The 22,628-nt window shown below is 38.3% G+C and overlaps 1 protein-coding gene across 9 annotated transcripts; it reads left to right on the top strand.

Moving 5' to 3' along the window:
* Positions 1-340: 340 nt before the first annotated feature.
* Positions 341-22,583, top strand: BDH2 (3-hydroxybutyrate dehydrogenase 2). Of its 9 annotated transcripts, XM_047415982.1 has the most exons (13): positions 341-392; positions 1,373-1,531; positions 2,421-2,539; positions 3,901-3,992; positions 4,894-4,972; positions 7,479-7,575; positions 8,890-8,998; positions 13,635-13,695; positions 14,435-14,476; positions 14,713-14,826; positions 17,246-17,304; positions 18,002-18,094; positions 20,420-22,583. In XM_047415982.1, the coding sequence occupies exons 4-13, from the start codon at positions 3,921-3,923 to the stop codon at positions 20,471-20,473; spliced, it is 780 nt and encodes a 259-aa protein (XP_047271938.1). In that variant the 5' UTR covers positions 341-392; positions 1,373-1,531; positions 2,421-2,539; positions 3,901-3,920; the 3' UTR covers positions 20,474-22,583. The 9 variants fall into 9 exon arrangements, with proteins under 9 accessions (XP_047271938.1, XP_047271937.1, XP_047271940.1 ...); XM_047415981.1 differs by lacking the exon at positions 2,421-2,539; XM_047415984.1 differs by lacking the exon at positions 14,435-14,476.
* The last annotated feature ends 45 nt before the right edge of the window (positions 22,584-22,628 follow it).

Genomic DNA, 22,628 nt, shown 5'->3' with positions numbered 1-22,628 from the left:
GGTTCCCTCTATTTTGTTGCTCTGCTATCTTCCACACGCAGTTTCCAGCTCAGCCAATCTCGTCTACCCTGGCACCGCATATAGTAGGCATAAACAAAACAGAGAAGTGGAGAGACTGAAGTGAAGGAAATGATTTCCGCATCCTAAGTAAGCTCTAAGGTGCTTTTCCACTTTTCACCTTCCACTTGGAATTCATAGTTCTACCTGAATTCCACTAGATGGCAGCACATACATTTATAAAGTGTATGGATGGAGCCACTAAACTCTGAAAGCAGGGAAACTACAAATCCCAGCATGCATTATTAAGCGCTTGACTTGCTTCCAGACAAAGGTTGTCTCAAGTTTGTTGCTCAAACCGAGTTCTGGAGAACGCCATCAGCTCGCTGCTTAAAGTAAGATTTCCTAATACTTTTGAAATGAAACTTTAGAACGGAAAGAGGGGAGGTTTAATTTTTAGATGTTGTTTTTTTCTGCACGTTGCCTGTTTCAAAATTAATCTGAGCAGTTAGATCAGTGTAAAGATGGGTTTTTAAAGAGCCTGAAACTCTGTGGTATGTATGTTTTATAAAGTAGCCCAAGAAAAAAGGATTCTTACGGTATCCTAAGTGAAGAGTTTTCTTCCTGGCTCTTGAAAACAATGGCTTCCTGAATATGCTGTTTGTGTCTCTGCTAATCAAAAATCAACATTTTGATTCTAACTTTTGGACTAAGGAAGCCAACATGTATGGTTTTCACATTGGATATATTGAGAGGTGCCTTGTTTTACCATTTCAGGCCGTGTTTGCTCTCATTTTCTCAAAGAAATCTGTTTTAGTTTGAGATTACAGTTTATCAAATGTTAAGGCTTTGACCCCAAAATCTGGTCCCAGAAAGACAGGAAGGCCAGCTAAGAGGAGGTTTTCAGAGTGCATAGAAAGGCTGCTCTGTGCTTCGGCATTTGTTCTGGAAGTGCTTCTTCGGTTGGCAAAGATTCCTAGCAAAACCTTTGACTGGAGGCTTTACAGGGCCATACACCCAATATCACTAATGACAGTGTTGTAAAATAGCTTTTGTGCACCATGCTTAGGATTCAAGGAGGATAAAGTATATCTTTCTAAAGTTATACTTTAGAAACTGTCATTCCATGTTGAAATGATAAACATTCCATGTTTATCTTTTGTGTAAGAAGTAAAAAAGCAAAAATTCATTGCATCAAAGTAGGTCAGGCACTGTTAAAGCCAAGCTTCCCCATCGCCTAAAAAATGTGGACAAACTCAGAGGAAGTCAGTGATTATAAGCTGATCCCTGGAGCCAGTTCTTACATAATTGTGTTAGTCTGCTCCTCCAAGAAGCAGACTCCAAGATAGAATTAAATATGCATGGATTTTATTAGGGGAAATGCTGTTGTGAGAGAGAATGAGGAGAGAACTAGGTAAGGCTGTGAGAGCCATCAGACCTCGATGCAAGTCCACCCGCGAGGGAGGAAAAGAAGGAAACCAGGTTGAGTGGAAGCATCCCAGACAGCTGTGCAGTCTAAGAGAACTTCAGCAAGGTAATAAGGAGCTTCTCTAGCCAGTCATCCGTTGGGGAGGAGGTCTATGTCTCCCAGAAATGAGTCTGCCTTAGTAAGCATGCATGCTCAGGCACTGGCTTGTAACGGCCCCGAGAAGGTGGCCTCAGCACAAACCCAGAGAGGCAGCAGCAGCTGCGCCTCATTGTCCATTACTTCCTGGGGTCAGCGGTCTGCGAGGCACAGGCTCCTGGTGCCACAGTGGGGATTTAGAGAGGCCCGCAGGGCTTTGAGTACCATGAGACAATGCCATGAGATCTTCCCTTGGACCTGCAACAAGAAGGCCTAGGTTTGAATTCATAGCTGCAAAACACTGGGCAAATAACATTTCTTTGAAATTAGCCACGTTGGTGATCAGGTCCTACCTATCTCATCTCTGAAACACTTCTCCAATCCACCTATCTCTCCATCCCTGCTATTTTCTCCAGCCCTGCTATTTCACCAGCGCCCCCACTAGATAACCCTAGCAGCCTCCTAATGGCACCCCATGCTCCTGCCCAGGTATGTTCTCCACAGCAGTCCTTCCAAAATACGAATCTGATCATTTCACACCCTTTCCATAAATCCTTCAGTGGCTGTTGCCTATAGGAGTAACTTGCCCTTCACCATGTGGACCTTGGACCAAGTGTGGAGGTTTGAAATGGAAGAGCATATTGGGTATAAAAAAAAAAAAGTTTGGCTAAAGAGAGAACTGAAATAAGTTCAAAGAGAAAGGACTAGGTAATATAAGCCCTTTAGGCAAGGCTATCAACCTGTACAAAATCAGGCAGATAATGGAACAGAGTGATTGTGTAGGCTAGTTTGCATGTACTGTAAGTTGGTTCATCAACACCATCCAACTCACTTTCTCCTATTCTTCACTTTATCAAAGCTGGAAACAAAAGTCTCAACTTCCAACCTCTTTGCAGCTAGGAGTGGCCAAGTAGCATAGATCTGGTGAATGAACTGCAGGTGGGAATTTCTGAGAAGGTTTCCTTCTTAAATAGAAAGGTGAGACCTCTCTGAAAGCCTTTTGGCTTTTGCTCCTCCCTTTCTTTTTGCCTGAAATGTGGATATGATGCCTTGGACAAAGCAGCCACTTTGTGAGTTCGTATGAGGTCAGAGGCACACATTAATGACAGAGCCCAGCAAGACTTGGAGCCTGTGTCCTTGAAGACAGCCTCATTTGATGGTCATTTGGCTCTTCTCCACCCCCAGCCTCACTACTAGCTCTTTCTCTCACTTTGTGATCTATAATCCAAGCACTGGTGAAATATCTCATGCACATGAGCCCCGGTGTCAGTGTTTCTCAATCATTTAGAAATTACTGATTATGCCTGTTAATGTGTTACTACTGCATGCTTAAACTTTATAAGAGGATCGGCAGCATTGTGGGCTGGACTGTTCACATAGCAAGAGTCTGGAAGTCTAAGTTTAGTTCTGGCTTTCCCATTGACTGGCTCTATGACATTGGGCATGTTTCAGCAGTTTCCTCATCTGTAAAATGGGAGTATTGGATGTGATTTGATTTTTCCATCCTTTTTTTTTTCGATGAATATCTGAGACCAACTATGAAATCTTTTCAAGAGAAAAAAAATCATAAGCAATTGATAGTGCAAACCTCAACAAAAGTTTATGGAAGAGAAATCAAGAAGCAGCCCTGAGTAGTAAGGACACAAATAATGTCATAGCAATGTGTGCAGGGGTCATGGAGAGAGTGATGGTGGTAGTGAGGAAACTCAGCACCAGAGGCTGTCCTCTCCAGGTACTGAAGGAAGGATAAGGTAGGTTAAAGTGCAATATCTGGGCTGGGCACAGTGGCTCAGGCCTGTAATCTCAGCACTTTGGAAGGCTGAGGCAGGTGGATTGCCTGAGGTCAGGAGTTTGAGACCAGTCTGGCCAACATGGTGAAAGCCCGTCTCTACAAAAAATACAGAAATTGGCTGGGCGTGGTGGCAGGCACCTGTAATCCCAGCTACTCAGGAGGCTGCGGCAGGAGAATTGCTTGAACCTAAAAGGCGGAGGTTGCAGTGAGCCGAGATCACTCCATTACACTCCAGCCTGGGTGACAAGAGTGAAACTCCATCTCATAAAAAAAAAAAAAAAAAAAAAAAATGGCCAATGTCTGTCACCAGTCATTACTTCAGTGGGTTATGGTAAATGTGTTTGATATACAAAGCTAGGTATGCAGAGTAAGCATTCTAGGAGAATTCAGATGATGGGACTACTTGCACAGAGGTGCTGTCTTCAAGTTCCTGAAGGAGCTCACTAAATTATTCTTAAAAGAGCACACTGAACTATTCATTCTAGATGTTACTGCCTGCTCAAGATCATGTTCTACAGTATAACCCATTAAACACACATGTCTTTAGATTAAACCACAGGTTCCATTATGGGTCGACTTGATGGGAAAGTCATCATCCTGACGGCCGCTGCTCAGGGGATTGGCCAAGCAGCTGCCTTAGTAAGTTATAAGTTACTATCTTTGTTGTTTGCCTACTAACTCTTGACATATTGAATTATGTGGACTGATGCCATGGTTGTTTACTTCTGCTCTGCTTTTTTATTTTTTTACTTTTGTGCTTCTGTTGTCTTAAGTTATAAAAATAAACAAATAAATAAATAGGTCCCTACTCCTGACCCCAGGCAGATGAAGGAATGAATACCTCATATTTAGTACATGACATCACTGATAACCATTGACTCTGAGAAACTTCTCTACTTCAGTTTCTCTGCATCATGATATATTCGCTACAGAGGGCAAACAGGGTTACACAGCTTTCTGAAATTGTGTCAGTTTAGATATATGACTCCAGAGTTATAAGACAGGTTACCTTGTTCTCCTGATTTATATCAATTTCTGTTACATTATGTACCCCACTTAAGCTAATATCGGCACCTTAAGTATAACAGTACCTTAAGTATAATGGCAGGGTATGGTTTGACATTTATGAAAGCACTAGCATACTCTTAGTAGGAAAAGTGTTGAAACAACCAATTTTTCTCTTATTATTTGGAGTTTAGTAACTCAAACTCAGAAATGATATATAGTCTCATTACAGAAGAGCAGTATTTTGAGAGTATTGAAAACAGCTGTCATTTTTTTAAGAACGTTATTTTGTTTGATATTACTTAAAGGGACTAAGTCAGATGACAAGCACAATGTATGTCACATTGTTCTAATTAATGATAAAAATAATAACAATGGAGAAGGGGTAAGACTAGATAGTTTAAAATTCTAGCTATCTTATAGGGAAAAGAACAATGAAAATAAGATAAAGGAGAAAAAGACCACATGATGTTCCATTCATGAGCACAGTTTATTCAAGTAAACAAAGGATTTATTTGTACTTTGTGTCTACTAGGCTTTTGCAAGAGAAGGTGCCAAAGTCATAGCCACAGACATTAATGAGTCCAAACTTCAGGAACTGGAAAAGTACCCGGGTAAGCAACTCAGCAGCTTGAATTTGGGATTCAGTGTCTGCAAGGTATTATAAAGCATGGCGCTCACATGTTGAAAGAAAATTCCCTAGCTACTGAGCTCCACTGCCGTGCTTTTTAGATTCTCTCTCTGATATGAAATCTATATTTTGTGAACCTATAGACAAAAATCTGTGACTTACATGCATAGAAAAATTTGAGGACGAATACTTAAAATCCTTTATTTAGCTAACACATTTGAGGGATTCAGTTCCTAATTACAAACTTACATGTGAAAATTTACTAGTTGTTAGGTTAACTTTTCATGACAGCTTTTCACTTCTGTGCCCTCCTCCTCTAGGATAGCCCTGTCCAATAGTAACATGTTGTGAGCTGCCTGTGTAATTTTAAATTTTCTAGTATCCACATTAAAAAAGTAAAAAGAATCAAGTGAAAATTAATTTAATAATATATTTTCTTTTATCCAATATATCTAAAATATAATCTCAACATGCACTCAAGTTAAAAAATTAATATTTTAATTTTTTCTTACTAAATTTTTTATTTAAATTATTAGAAGTTTCTTACAAACTTCAAACATTAATTTTCTCCTCTTTGCAGCTTTTCTCTTAATTTTCTCTTCTTTGAGGTATAATTGAGAAATAAAAATTGCATATATTCAAGATGTTCAACATGATGTTTTCATATATGTTGTAAAATACCTTGTGAAATGATTATCACAGTCAAGCTAATTAACATATCCATTACCTCATTTAGTTACCTCTGTGTGTATGTATGTGTGTGCTAAGAATACCTAGGATCTACCCTCTTAGCAAATTTCAAGTATACAATACATTATTAATAACTATAGTCACTGTACTGTATATTAAGTCTTATAACTGCAAGAGTGTACCCTTTGACCAACGTCTCAATATTTTCATACTAAATCTTTAAAATTCATGTGTATTTTACACTTGCAGCACATTTCATTTCAGACTAGCTGCATTTCAGGTGCTCAGTAGCCACATGTGGCTGGAGACAGCTTAGCTCTAAAATCACACATCATCATGAGAAACCCTAAGAGAGTACCCAGATTATTAGGTGTGTACCACCACTTCTTCACCCCACTGAACCAAACTCCAACACCAAAGGATTTTAATTGCAGTTTACCCAAAGAAATCAGAACAGAGAACCTATATGAAAGGTAACCCTTACAGCAAAATAGAACAGGTTACATAATCAAACAGCAATTAGTTCCTTGAATTAGTTAATTGAATTGGAATATGTTGAATTATAATTCAAACAAGTCAAAGTAAAGCTGCTGCACTGGGGAAGCACAAAGATAAGGAAATGTTTCTGAAACAAAATTTCAAGTCTTCCCTTTCTTTATGAATCTTTTATTTCTATATTCCCCCAAAATAAACCATATACATATTATTTATAATATATTATAAATTATAAAATATAATACACATTATAGATAATTATATATTATATGTATTATACATATATTATTATATATTATACATATACATATTAATACATTGTATATATTATAAATTATATTACTATATATTATATGTATTATTCATATATTATTATATATTATATGTATACATATTAATACATTGTATATATTATAAATTATATTACTATATGTTATAATATATATTATGCACATTATAAATAATATGTGTATATATTTATAATGATGACTGCTGCTTTTGTTAGACACTGTTTGGAGTTTCTCAGCAACTAGTGCAGTGTGTATCTCTCAGGTGCCCGCCATGCCAGATCTCTCATGTCTAGCCTTCAAGGGTGTCATCCCTTCTTCTGACCCTCTCATTTCTTCTCCTTGCAGTTTAGTCCAGAAATACATGTATTTGACTGGATACCCTTGACTAACAGAGTCATTTCTAATAAATAATGGAAATGACATAAAGGGGAAGCTCACAAATAGAAACAGTCTCTTATTCCAGAACACTTGCTCTTCTCCACCCCTCACTCAGACAAAATTCTGATTACTGTATAGGTACCAGCAACCCAGTCTCTGGCAGGGGAAGGATAGGGGAAGGACATCTTGAATATATGCAATTTTTATTTCTCAATTATACCTCAAAGAAGAGAAAATTAAGAGAAAAGCTGCAAAGAGGAGAAAATTAATGTTTGAAGTTTGTAAGAACTTCAAATGAGCCCATTTTCAGTTATTACTGCTGGCTTACTGAGAAACATCTAATGTACACCAGTCATTCTTTACTATAAAGCCATTGCTCAGAAAGGACCCTTATTATTCAACTTGGAAAATGGACAGAGAGGAAGGAAGAGGGACGGATGGGTTATTGGAGGAGTCAAGATGGACTTTAAGTTTACTAATGAGACTCTGAAGATTCTTAAGACCCTAGTAAGAAGGTCAGCAATCTATGAAGCCTAGCTGGATAGATGTTGCAATCTTCACACTTCACACTTCAAAACAGCTAAACCTTCAAGGCTAAACATTTTTAGGAATAGTGCCTCTTGTTTTATTTTTCAGGTATTCAAACTCGTGTCCTTGATGTCACAAAGAAGAAACAAATTGATCAGTTTGCCAATGAAGTTGAGAGACTTGATGTTCTCTTTAATGTTGCTGGGTAATTCATAACTTTTTAGTTTCACTTTCCTTACAGAAAGTTTTCTATGACTTTCATTCAAAGAATTTTCATAATGTGGCAAAATCATTCATTGTGAACCATGACATATTCCTTGGGAAATATGGCTAGATTTTACACAGCATTTTCATTACACATAAAATTCAGCAGGTAAGACAGCCTTAGAGTTTGACATGATCTGGGGCAAATGAGGTCTACTCAAGACAGATGGTACTGATACAAAGCTGTATTATGTGTTACAATGTATGGAAGTTAAATTAAAGCAATAATTTCTGATCATCTATTTTATAAATAGTCTTCCATCCTCATGTAAGAATACACCCAGAAACATGAAACAAATAGTTAGCAAAGTTAGTTTCTGAGCATCTATTAAATTTTCAGCCATGTAGGGGATGTAGAAATAATCATGTGGTTCCTGCTGTCATGAAACTGACATTCTGACTGAAATAGCAGAGCTTTGGTACATGGAAGTCACAGCCAACAATATTTTATAATGAATTACATAATTTGGGTCCAGAGGACCAAATCAGTAAGGGTTCCAGTGTTTTGGAAGCTTCCCTCAGAAAACGTAACTTGAAAAATAGTGAAAGCTACTTTACGGGTTTGTTTTGTTCTGCCTTAACGTCTCTCTTACAACAAACTAACATCTCTCAGTATGTTAGAACACTAGCAGTATCACTTTGCTGCTCTGAGATGTTCAGACACTTGTTTTCCTTGCAATTTTGATTTCCCTTGAGAATTCTAAATCTGTGCCACCTGAGGGCACTGTTGCTCTTGAAATAGGAATCACATAGGCAAATAGGGCAGATGTTTTTTCTCTCTCTCTTTTTTTTTTCTGAAACAGGGTTTGTCTTGGTTCCCCAGGCTAGAGGGCAGTGGAATGATCATAGCTCACTGCATCCTAAAACTCCTGGGCTCAAGTGGTCCTCTTGCCTCAGCCTTCAAAGTAGCTGAGGCTGCAGGTGTGTGCTACCATGCCTAGCCCTGTTCGCCTTTATTTGTTGTTTGTTTTTAATGGCATTGATGTTTCCAGCACAATTAATATAAAGCTTCTTATGTTCGGTGACCATACTTTTGTTTGGAAAACAAGGATCTTGTTTTCAGATGACATTTCTAGCTTAAGTTGTTGGGATTCTTACTAATATAATATACTAAGTGATACTATGAATTGTTTAAAGTCTTGATAAGGGAAAGAGACAGTGGTCTAAGTCACTAAGTGACAATAAAAATAATCAGCAGATGGAATAGAAAAATTTTAATGGCAGTTATTCTTCCATTGTTTAATCACTCTTCTAGTTTTGTCCATCATGGAACTGTCCTGGATTGTGAGGAGAAAGACTGGGACTTCTCGATGAATCTCAATGTGCGCAGCATGTACCTGATGATCAAGGCATTCCTTCCTAAAGTAAGACCACCACCACCACCACCAGGATAAGCACCACATTAGGTCTCTGTACTGGGCACACAGAAGGGATTCCCACATGTGCTGAAGAGTGATAATAACTAACACAATGATTAACTTGCATTGAACATTTATATCAAGGCATTTCACATAAATTAATCTATTTAACCTTCCAGCTCATCCACTCAAGGAATATTTATTAAGCACTTTCCACATGCCAGGCTCCATTCTAGGCACAGAAGACACATAAGTGAACTAAACAAAGTGCCTTCTATAAGGCAGGTTCCATTATTGGGGGTGAGATGGGACAATTAGTAATCAAATAGACATAGAATATGTGGCGTGGTTTTAAATATAATGAAGAGAAAGAAGCTAGGATATCAATGCGGCCCCTCTGGACTCCACCGCAAAGGTGAAACTGGCATAGCAGTCCAAGAAGTGAGACAGCTGATCATTCAGGTACCTTGGGAGATGATTCCAGGCAGAGGTAACAGCAGGGAGGCACACGAGACTGGAATGATCGTATGAGGTAGATACTATTATCTCATCCATTGTTCAGAAGATGAAACTGAGAGTTCAGACAACTTGCTCAAGGTCACCCAACTAGCACATGGTTAGAACCAAGATTTGAAGCCTGGACGTTGAGCCCCTTCGTGAATTTCAGTCTAGGCTCACACTCTCAAGAGGGATGTACCCCATTGCTTTTCTCTGCCCTGAAGCTTCTCCCTTCGCTCTTGTTTTGATCTGAACCACAGTGGTACTGGGCAGGTGAGAGACAGTGTGTGCTCAAGACAGCATTCCTCCTTGAATTCTCAAGCCTTCACACAACGCATCAATGTTTAAAATTTTATTTTATAAACTAGCATTAAGTACCTCTTGGTATAAATCACTATATAAAGTGTTCTAGGGGAGTATAAACATGAGCAGCGTACATCCCTGATTTCAAATGAGCTTATAAACCAGTAGTAGCAGACAGTGCAGGCTGAGACAATGAAAGGGGTTGACTGGGTACAGAGCCAGCTCAACTCAAGGTTGTAAATTGAACCTAGTGAAATGCAGAAGAACAACTTTTCCCTTCCATCCCAGCTGGATTTGATGTCCTGTCCATGTCTGGGCAGGAGAAGAGCTTTGTTAATGGCACAGCAGGGCTGATATTCTACTCTGAATATTCAACCTAATGTTAAGAAGGTTCCAGATGAACATTAACAGGAAAATTAGAGAAACTGACTTAGTAATGAAGGGACTTTGAAAAATCTACTTGTTTAGTGCTTAGAAGGGATTTTTGGGTGGGTCCACAGAATGTTGAACTAGCAAATTTTTATAACAAATTGTTTTTTTTAATGTAAGTTGATTTTTTAGCCTATTTGGAGTTTATGAGAAACTATAGTATTTGGAACACGAATGTATTTTTGAAGACAGATCCTTTGCATAGGTTACAGGGGTAGAGCAGAGACTGTGGTATAGGAGGAAAGCTTAGGTCATCGTGGGTAAGACTGTTGCACATGCATGAGACTCATTTGCAAAACCAGGCTCTAAAATGCTTTACAAATTTTAGTAAAGGAAGTAGGTGTGGAGTACAGTGGAGCTGAAATGTAAACTTGTGTTAATTTTTAAAATATACAAACATTAACTTGCAAACTAGTGAGTTTGCTTGTGATTTACAATATCTTAACAATTATCCATGTGGGCCAAAAACACAGATTTGTTTAAAAAAAAATCCCAAGAGATGTTAATGGCAGGAATATGGTATTAGTGCCTCTTGTTTAAAGTGACCTTGACAAAATCGAATCCTGGTCTTGGACTCTATCATCAGAAGTCCTTAGGTGCAGTCTGCGCCCTGCCCCTAATTGGCCATGTGCCATAGAGATGGCACTTGTACCCTCTCAGTACATATTTCTTTTAGCTAAAAAATGAGGATGATAGGTTACACAATCACTTCCAGCCATAATTATCTATGATCCTCTGTATCATTAACTATGACACACATATCCCATGTTAGAACTTTCCAGGGGAAGCTAGGATTTGGAGTCTAGGCAGCTCTGGAAGGTCAGCTGGTCAGAACATAGGAACACTCATAGGAAATTTTTATTCATGGATAGATACACAGGAAAGCATTCCAAGACTGGAAGATCAGTCAAAAGGCAGAGAACAAGTTGAAAATACTTTAAGAAGAGGTCAATGCAGAATCCAGGCTCCACCAGAAGAGAAGATCCATTAGGGCAAAGATTTGGGGATATCTTTGTTATTTGGGTTGGTTTGTTTGCTTGCTTTTTTCCCCCACCTTGCTGTGTCTTAGAAGAGTCTTCAGCGTATAGAGGTGCTCCACAAACATTTGTCAAATAAATAAATGAATCAAGGTTGTTAGTCCAGCAGGAACCACTGGAGACCCAAGTGGCCAGGTTCCACCAGGGTTAGGGGCTGAGCTCTGGCCAATGGAGACAGAAGGGCTGGGTCAGAGTAAGACTAACTAGATACAGCTCCAGGGACTCTTAAGGGGTATTTCTAGCCCCTACCTAAGCTTCTGGGAGGTCAATCCTAGATAGCAGTACTATGTACCAGGCACTTGACTTTATAGTCATGCCTGCCAGAGAAGGCTATTGCATGGGGAGCCAGGGAGAGCCTGACACCATGACGACAGCTCCTGACCTGGACTGGGAAGGCAGCATGGGAACAGGTACTGACTAGGGGCTCTAGAAGCAGCAGAGGGACCTCGGTTGAACTTGGTTGAATGGATAGTGCAAGTGTTAGGGGGCAGCACTAATGTAATGTCTCTTAGGTGGCTTTATTCTAAGGTTTTGCCTGAGATAATATTGCATTTCTAGAGAGGACTAGAGATTGAACCTACATAATAACCCATCTTTATGTATTAAATTGGGGTATATGTATTCTATATGTATTTTAAATGGGGAATGCTATTTGCTAAATTGGATAAGAAAGAACAATTTTAAGGCTTACTTTTCAACACCATTACACTTGACCAACATTCTTGACACTTTTTATGAGAACCCCATTTCATTATGATCCTCTTTATTATATAAAACACACAATTAAGTTAAACATTATTTTTTCCCCTGCTGTCTTCCTTAGCTTGGTTGGGTTACAGTCAGCCTCTCCTTGTATCCACTTACTCCATTCAGCATAGTGCCTTGGGGTTAGTTTAGATTCTGTTTTTAGGGGCAATTAGTAGCTAAATCTCAGAACAAAGTCAGAAGAATATCCTAAGAAATCAATCATCTTGGCCACACCAATCCTGGATCCATTCAATTATTTACTTTTTCCTTTCCTACACCTCTTTTTCTAAAAGCTGCTAAAGAAACTCGTCCCAACAGAAGTCATTTTTTTTCTCTGGCCCTTTACACTGCCTATTGAGACTTCTATGTACATGTTATAATTAGTAAAGTTTGAAAACATTTTTAAATTCATAGCAGTTTTCTTTATTATATATTTATTTAGCTATAGGACAGGGCCCAGCAATCTGTGTTTTAAACTAGCACCTCAGGAGATTCTGATTCATCAACATTTATTGACTGCCTACTGTGTACACTGTCTAGGAGGACAAAACAGCCAAAGACCCTCATCTTAATAAATTCACACTTTAGTGGGGGAATTCTGAAGAAGGTGTTCTTAGGAAACACTGCCCTAAATTGGTGAGGCCCACCATCCCTGCAGCAACCATCTACAAGGTCCTGCCCATCCTGCCTCAGCCCTCTCCTCCTCAGCTACCCATAGACATTTCTGCAGCTCCACCTTTATCACTCTTTCCTGAAGCCTGCATCAGCTTCCACTAGTCTCTGGGCACCACAGTAATCCTTGCAATCCCCAAGTCTGAACATGCCACTTCTCTGCTTTAAACCCTTCAGTGTCACTGCATCACCTTCAGGGTAAAACCCAGGTTCTAAATTCAGCCCTTGTTGACCTCTGCAGCCTCATTGCTTCCACACCCTGCATTCCAGCCAGACCCAGCCCCTCCTCCCAGTTCCCGATGGAACCTTTATACCTGTGTACCCACTCCTCAAAACATCCTTTTCTTTTATTTTTCTGACTAATACTCTAGTGTTCAAAATTCAGCCCATATCCTTCCTTCTCAGGAGGTCCCCTCTGAGTGTCGCCCAGCCTGAATTGCTCCCTTTCTGCCCTCACCCTGCTGTTAGATCTCTGTGGAGGTCTCTGCTGTGGCTGGATGTGGATTATGTGAGCCACTCTAACCAGACTGGTTGCCTCCTGTAGGCAGTAATCTCCTGGACCTAGCACAATACCTGGCCTCAGTAGGTATTCAAAAATTATGTGTTGAATGGAGTAAGTTTCCCAACATCAGTAACACACAATAACAACATTTATTCACATTTCATTTAAGTCAGCATTCACTCGTAGTCTTGCTGACATTCTTGTACCATGGGAAGGTGGTAATCCCCCTGGGAAATGCCAGTGAGTGCAGTCACATTGCCATCATTTCCCAGCAATAGTTGATGAGGTGTTTTGGGTTCACTGTTAAGACTGCTTAATAGTGCTTAATGTGACTAGCTAATACAGTAATTAAATTCATTCTGCAAACCCTAAGAAAATGCAAATCTTTTTAAAAGGTAGTATTTTAGCCCACAAAGTGGATTTTTTTTTTTTTGTATTTGTTTTGTTTTGGCAGATGCTTGCTCAGAAATCTGGCAATATTATCAACATGTCTTCTGTGGCTTCCAGCGTCAAAGGTGGGTCTGTCTCCTTCCGAGGACTGCGATGCTCATACACGCACATCATTAAGAGCTCTGCGTTTGGGAACAGGCATAGCAGAGATTATAATTTCAAGTATTGAAATGATTTCAAAACTGCTTTTTTCAAAATTGGTATTAAGTTCCTTAACCACAGATCTTTTGCTCTCGATGTGAGCCAGTGGTAAAATTAAATTAAAATGTGGGGTATTTTTGCCCTCCCTTTTATTCTTTCTAATGGACATGGAAATGAACATCAAACTGGGAGAAAGAACCATTTAACATTTAATTAATTTAAAATAGTGTATTGAGCACCGGTATGTGCTCTGGCCATAAAAGAATTCACAGTCCAAAACTAGGAGCAAGGCAGCAAACATCATCTTCTCCAGTGTGATGATATATAACAGAGGTTTGTACAAAGCGCTGTCAAAATACAGGGAAATAACTGCCTGTGAGTTTGTGGAATGCTTCACAAAGACAGTTGATCTGAGCCATCAGCAAGAAGTCAAGTTGAAGGACAAGGACAGCAGTACAAAATGTGGATTATGTCACAATCTGGCATAGTTGGATCTGTGAGTTTAAAATGAAATAGTTACTGCTGAGATACCATTTCTTCTCTTTGCAAGGATACACATATTCAACATACACAAGAGAGGAATGTAAAGAAGTGCCTAGGCCTCCTGTTTTATTGTTTTGTTTTGTTATTAATCTTCATTTTCTTTTGGAATCTGCCTAAGAGTTATGGCAACTGATGATGAGAAACTAAGACTACCAATGTTAAGTAAGTTCAGCATTTCAATTAAGTCTCAATTAAGTTGTGCCTATACTGATATTATTTCCCTAGATCCAGAAACTGACTCTATTGAAGGAAAAAAATCTGATATCAATCTTTTTAAAAGGGGAGGAATGTGGGAGAAAGCATGAAAATGGCTACTGGGAAAACTTATTTGTGTTACCTTTCTGAAGGAAAATACATTTTTTATTCCTTCAATTGTTGAACCTTTCCTCCACCCTCAGGAGTTGTGAACAGATGTGTGTACAGCACAACCAAGGCAGCCGTGATTGGCCTCACAAAATCTGTGGCTGCAGATTTCATCCAGCAGGGCATCAGGTGCAACTGTGTGTGCCCAGGTGAGTAAGGCACACCTGTTTTGTAAGCAAAGTTTTACTGAAACACTTCCACACCCAATTTGCTTATGTTATTGCCTATGGCTGTTTTCATGCTACAAAGGCAGAGTTTAGTATAATAGTTGCAACAGATAAAATGACTCTCAAAGCCATAAATATTTTTTGTCTGCCTCTTTACCAAGAAAGGTGTGCCGATCCCTCATACAAAGCAAAGAAGAAAAGCAGAACTTTCCTTTTCTTAATAACTATAGGGGTGTGTCTCATTTTCACAATAACCGTAGATGTGTTTATTAAATTGATATGTACTTTTACCTGGTTCTACCAATCTAAAAGGAACTTAAGGTATCTAATAAGGATTATAATATTCTTTAAAAAGAAATGATTGCATATCCAGGATCAAGGTTTCCCTTGGTAGTGCACAATTGATAATGGGGGGTGGTGTGTGAAAGGGAAACATTTCAATATGACCTGGGGACCTTTCAAACCTGAAGGGCATGCCAGAATTTAGGGAAGGAGTTCATGGAGAGAATTGTGTGGTTTAGAAAGACCCACAAGAGATTCTGATTGAATCTTCAGTTGAAACCCACTGACTTAAAGAGGGGAAACTAAACATCCCCCAAGCTACAGAATTTCAGCGATTGAGATGTTCTGTTTTATTTTTCTTGGAACAGAAATGTAAACGTAGGTAACGCTAAGAAAAAGAAGAATGCATGAGAGGTCATTTCATTGGGTTTTAATGTACATCCTGGCGATACTTGAGTCTAGCTATTCTTGGTGCCATTTACCCAGTGGAATAAGTGGTAAAATGATTTGGAAAATGTGGTTGTTTCAGCGACTGGACTTATCAGGAGATTGGAAAATATGTTATCAAACTCTTTGGAACAAGGAACTAGCTGTGACTCAGTGAACCAATCACAGAAGAAAACTTGAGGAGGACTGAGTATGTCTGAGATGCTGCTGATGGTTGTATAGTCACAAATCTCCAGCCAGACTTGTGTAGACCCTGGCATAGTATGTCTGTGCCATGGACACAGCTGAACCCAGTGACATTGGAATACTCTAAAGGCATGGGCTTGCTCTACAGTTCTTATTTAATAGCCATTAGTACCAGTCATATGTAAGATATGATGTTCATTTACCTCAGAGGGAGAAAGCTATTAAAGCTGTAAGATTCTGAAGGAGTGTTAGTGAAAGCTTGAGGTGCACACTGTTGGTAAAACTGTGGACTTTAAGGAGGCTATTGAGGAAAGTGAGGAAAATATTATTGAAAATTAGAAAAAAGAGTGTCTTTGTCATACAGTTTCAGAAAGTACATCAACACTGTTGCCTGTAGTGTGAAGGTAGAAGATGTTCCTAATGAACTGGGTGATCTAATTAAGGTGATTTCTACCCAGAGTCTTGAAAGTGCTGGCTGCTTATAGTAAAATGTGACAAGAGACAGATAACCAACCTAAAGAGGGGGTTCCAAAATGGAGTCAGGCTTTCTGATTTTGAAGATTTCCAGCTTCATCAGAAAAAAATAGCAAATGATGCTAAAATTAAGAAATGTTTTCTGAATAAAGATCAAATCTATGGCACTCTCAGGAACATGATCTAAGGGTGAAGTATGACTGTAAAACCATTTGTTACAACCTCAGAAAGATCACATTATTTGCCAGAGTACTCTTTAGTCTGAAAAAGGGCCCTCTAAAGAGAATGAACAGTTTATGTCCGTTAACAAAAAAGTCTGGGTAACGTGCTCTAGGAGACCATAAACTAAGTGGAATTTTAAAATGTTAGCGTTGTTCTTATTTTTCTTTTTTAAAGTAAAATAACTTTAAATTAGATTAAATTATATTTTTGATTAAAAACTTGAAACTGTGGTTAAAAGTAGGCATTTGAAACAATGAAAATAGGCAAGGTGATAAGAAAAATTTAGCGCCACCTGAATTACCAAGGACTATGGTAGCCATGGGATTGTCCCCAAAGATGCCACAGTGAACTTGACAGCAAAGAATGGTTTTGAGATCATTGAGGCAAACTGGCTCCTTAAGCTGGCAAAGTGCTTGTACGATTTTATCTACATCTCAGGGTTATTGTGAGGATTAGCTGAGATCATATGCATAAATGTATTTAAAATCCATAAAGCATCATATAAATGCAATGTGACTAAAATATATGTCCTTGAGAATGCTGGGTGATTCATCCAGAGTCCCTACATAGTGTCACGAAGAATCATAGTCTGTGTTTTTAAAATCATAGAAATGTTATTGAAGAAATTATAAGCCTATTAAATAAGAGGCCTCAGGCAGGCAGCTGTAAAGTTGTCATTTTAAGTCAAGGAGAAGAATCTCACTGATTGTCATATGGAAAGGAAGTTTAGTTATCGATTTCTTTTTCAGTGAAAGTGAGTAACCAAGCTGAATATCCCCCTTTGATTTAGGAACAGTTGATACGCCATCTCTACAAGAAAGAATACAAGCCAGAGGAAATCCTGAAGAGGTACATCTAGCATTTAAAATGTATTTAAACCTTTTGTTAATAAATGCCCTCTTCCATACCTATAGCAGACAAATTCATAGAGACAGAAAGTGAAATGGTAGTTGCCAGGGGCTTGGAAGGAGGGAAAAGAGTAGTTAATGCTTAATGAGTAGAGAGGTTCCATTTTGTAAGATGAAAAGAGTTCTGCTTGGGAAGCTGAGGCTGGGGGATCGCTTGAGCCCAGGAGTTTGAGGTACAACAGTGAGCTATGATCACAACACTGCACTCCAGCCTGGGCAACAGAGCAAGACTCTGTCTCTAAGAAAAAATAATAATAATAAAAATAAGAGTTCTGGAGATGGACAGTGGTGATGGTGGCACAACAGTGTGAATGTACCTAACACTATTGAACTGTACACTTAAAATGGTTAAGATAGTAAATTTTATATTCTGTATACTTTACCACAACTTTTGAAGATGAAAAAATAATGCCCTCATCCTTTAACATTAGCTTTCTGATGTGTCACAATATCTGTGGGTTTTAGTATAACACAAACAATTTGAGTAACTTTGGCAAAAGAATCACCATAACCCTAGTTGATTATTCATCAAGGCAGCAAGCCAGTGGATTCTCTTGCCTTTAACTCCTTGAACAAGATGCAGGTGAGCACATACAGCTGCTTCCATCACTAATGTCTGGTATGGTCTCTGGTCACAGGCACGGAATGATTTCCTGAAGAGACAAAAGACGGGAAGATTCGCAACTGCAGAAGAAATAGCCATGCTCTGCGTGTATTTGGCTTCTGATGAAGTAAGCACTATTCTTCCCAAGGAGTTCATTACCCTCAATCACATTTGGCCACAATTTGCTCATCAAAATAATATCATTTTAGAGAGTTTGTGGCATATATGTGCTAAGATGCTACATTTATAAGATAGGGATAAGTTCTCATTTAATTTGCTCAAAGAAAGACCACTTCGATCTGAGCCACTAATTCTTCCTTATTCAGCTTTACATAAAATCTTGTAGCAAACAAAATGGAGGACTAAAAAAGTTAAAGTGCTCAATTTTCTGAGAGACAGTTCCTTTCAAAAATTATAATTGGGGAAACCCTGATTAAATGCAAGTCAAAAAATTGAACCTCCAGGATTATAAGAGCTCTAAGTGAAATGGGGAGAGGATTAAGCAGATTTGTGTTCAGTGGACACAGAATTCGCATGTGGTGTTTTAGTTTTACTTGTGACTTGTTTGGGAGAATTCCACTGGCTCTTTTTTCTCTATTAATTCTTACTTGTGGCCGGGCATGGTGGCTCATGCCTGTAATCCCAGCACTTTGGGAGGTCGAGGCAGGCGGATCACCTGAGTTCAGGAGTTTGAGACCAGCCTGACCAACATGGTGAAACCTCGTCTCTACTAAAAACAGAAAATAGCTGAGCGTGGTGGCGGGCGCCTGTAGTCCCAGCTACTCGGGAGGCTGAGGCAGGAGAATCGCTTGAACCAGGGAGGCGGAGGTTGCAGTGAGCCGGGATTGCGCCACTGCACTCCAGCCTGGGTGACAGAGTGAGACTCCGTCTCAAAATAAATAAATATTTTTAAAAATTCTTACTTGTTCATCATCGTGTATGGAAATTCCTAATTTAATCTCTTCCACTTTGCATCTGTTTAACAGTTTTTTCCTTAATAACTATTGTTTACTTTTAAATGGCTTAAGATGAAAGCAAAAATGATGCTTATAAGGTATAGAGCACAAGAAGGTCCTCCTCTGTTTTATGTCTCTGAATACTACAGGAACAAGGAACTGTAATGTGTGAGAAGAGGGAAGGAAAGGGGACTAGGCGGGAGCGAGGAGGGAACAACTGATAGCTCCTCTTCCCAGTAACTTGGTGCACACCAGATAGTTGGTGAATGTGACAAATACAGGGATTGAAATGTTTCCGTGACAGCGCAGTTTCTTCTCAGAACTTCTCCCAACTATTAACAACAATTGTTAATAGCTGGGGAAATTAATAGACAAATGTTTAATGAAGAAGCACATGAGCCTTTGTGATTTCTCTGAATCCGTATCTTCAGAATAGCTCATTTGATTTGGGTACTGCTGATAAGCTAAATTACCCTTAGTTAGCCAGAGCTTAGGTTACAAGATATTTGGAAGTGTTGTGGCTTGAAATGTGCTACAAAAGTACCTTTGGCTTTTTAGAGGTTTCCAGAGGAGTTCATATGTGTAACAGAGCTTGTCTTTTAAAAGAACTTGGGGGAGTTGGAGGTATTTCTTTGGTGAAGTGACTAATAACTCCCTAGTTCACCTACTGTATATTATCAGCTTTTATCTATTGAACTCTTAAAATTTCTCTATTCATTATGATATCCTTACTTCCTCTTCCATTGTTTCAGGCTTCAGATGAATTTAGACTGTTTGAGTCTTTATTATCCATTTTAAGTTAAAAGATTTTTAAACTTCTACCAAAAAGATCACTTCAGCCTTATTTAGAAAATGAAAAATTTATGGGAATAAACCAGTAATTATTTTTTAAATTCCTTAGTTTTATAAAGATTTGGATATCTGAAACTAATATAGAATATTTTTATAGCTTAATGGATTATAGTTATTATCATTCATGTAAATTTTTAAAACACATTTAGTGTGCTTCAGCTCCTACAATTATCCACTTATAATTGATCAACTAAATATATGCTGTCTTTTTTAAAAAACTGGTCATTAATATGACCATTTTATGACTGATACACTTATGTTCAAAAGTTTATTAGTGGCATAAAACTTAGCTAGTTTTGAATAGTTCTGAGTTTCAAAATGAAAATGTGCTTTTAGCCTATATCCTAATTTGGGGAATGGCTATACATCACTGTTCCTTAATTTGGGGATTCTGAGACCAAATACCTAACAGTGACAGGTGCTTAGACACCAGCCAGAGGCCATTTAGTTCCAGATCACAGGACACTCAGCAGTTCTAAATCAACCAAATGTTAATTTGGATTTCCCTGAATTAAGTGTTTAAGTGAGGTTTCCTGTTAGGACAAGGGTAAATTGTTTAGTTATCCTAGTCACAGGAAAATTTCAAAATACAGCCTGTATCAAACCTGGTTAATTGTTCTGTCTCCTTGTGTTTATCACTGCAGTCTGCTTATGTAACTGGTAACCCTGTCATCATTGATGGAGGCTGGAGCTTGTGATTTTAGGATCTCCATGGTGGGAAGGAAGGCAGGCCCTTCCTATCCACAGTGAACCTGGTTACGAAGAAAACTCACCAATCATCTCCTTCCTGTTAATCACATGTTAATGAAAATAAGCTCTTTTTAATGATGTCACTGTTTGCAAGAGTCTGATTCTTTAAGTATATTAATCTCTTTGTAATCTCTTCTGAAATCATTGTAAAGAAATAAAAATATTGAACTCATAGCAGGAGAATAGTTTTTAAAATAAATCTCGATTTGTTAGCATCTGTCTTAGTCACTTTGGGCTGCTATAACAAATTACCATAGATGGAGTGTCATAGACAACAAACATTTATTTTTCAGTCTGGAGGCTAGGAAGTGCAAGATAAAGGTGCCAGCAGATATAGTTTCTGGTTAGGGCCCACTTCCTGGTTTGCAGATGGTCCTCTTCTTGCTGTATCCTCACATAGCAAGAGCAGAGAAAAAAAGCGAGCGCTCATGTGTCTTTTTATAAGGACACTAATCCTGTTCATGAGGGCACTACCCTTATGACCTGATTACCTCCCAAAGGCCCCACCTCCTAATGTATCATATTGCAGGTTAGGATGTCAACACATGACTCTGGGGTGATACAAATAGGCCATTGCAGCATATACAATTAAAATGTAAATATGAAGAAAAAAGGAAGTTTTTGTTTTTTTGTGGGGGAGATGGGGGTTAAGGAAGAAGATAGTAATTTCAGGACTAGGCATGGTAGCTCATGCCTATAATTCCTGCACTTTGGGAGGCCAAGGCAGGAGGATCACTTGCGGCCAGGAGTTCAGGACCAGCATGGTTAACAGAGGCTAAGGCAGGAGGATTACTTGAGCCCAAGAGTTTGAGGCTGCAGTGAGCTGTAATCATGCCACTGCACTCCAGGGTGACAGAGCAAGACCCTGTACCTAAATAATAATAATAATTTCCACTTCATTTTTCAATATTCAAATATTTTTATATAATTCTGCATTGTTCTGTATGTAGATCCTAATTTTAAAATTTTACACCATCATAAATGAACAAAGGTAGGAAGGAGTTTGGCTTCAATAGCTTACAGTAAAAGGAGTAAAGGAGTTCAGCCTCAAAACGATATTGTTGACCTGTTATGTTATGAAAAATAATCCAGTGTTTATACTTAACGGATGCCATCCCTTATTATTTACTATTTTCTTAGTCTAACTAAACAATCTTTATTAAAATAAGCAATGATATTTGACATGGGCCTAAGAAATATATAGTTAGCTAACAATATTGTCAGTTAGAGGGATTTCTTTTCTAAATTAAGTACAGATTTCTTCACCAAACTCCAGGATAACAGAAAAGAGGACATAAAATTTGGACATAGTTTCTGGATAAATAAATGTAAATTTAAATATAAATTATGTAACAGGAAACAAACGAAATTAAAGAAAATAAATTTTTCAAGAAAAGTAAATTTATGGATGTTAATTCTGTAACATTGTCAGGGCAAAGTTTTTTGTTTTTATTTTAATTTAAGGGTTTTATGTTTGTTTTTTACTTGTTGCAACCTCAAATGACCAAATGGTATGATGCACACTGAGATACTCAATAAATGTGCAGTGATTCTTAGCCTTTTTTCCTAGAACTTTAATATTAACATGGAAAATTCTGAAATGGACAACAAAAAGATAACACTTTGTGTATGGGGAAGAATATCATGCAGTTGATGACGGTACATTAAAATTCACACAAAAGGACATTTTGACTAGCATTCAGAAAGAGTCCATTGATTATAAGATTATCTATGAGGTTTTGGACCGGGCACTACACTACCGAATTATGGCTAACTTTGGTTTGTGATCTAGACCAAGTCACCCAATCTATCTTGGATTTTAGTTTTCTGGTTTATGAAATTAAGGAGTTAAGCTAAATGACTTGGGTTTCTTTTCGTGTATCATAATCAAAATGCTGTAACTTCTCTAGTGAATTCATAGAACACTGACTCTTACAAGTATGTCATGAAATACTTTATGCTGTGAGCAGGTATACATGTATAATATATGTATAGCTATGAACAAATAAATTTTAAATAAATGCACAACGAATTCTACAAAATGGGCTCCAACATTAACAAATGATCTGAGTTAGTCTTTCTCACAGCCGACCATAAACTATA

This window comes from Homo sapiens, chromosome 4 (assembly GCF_000001405.40).
Source record: "Homo sapiens chromosome 4, GRCh38.p14 Primary Assembly".
Taxonomy (NCBI): Eukaryota; Metazoa; Chordata; class Mammalia; order Primates; family Hominidae; genus Homo; species Homo sapiens.
The sequence above is the reverse complement of the archived record's forward strand: the minus strand, read 5'-3'. Positions and strand labels throughout refer to the sequence as shown.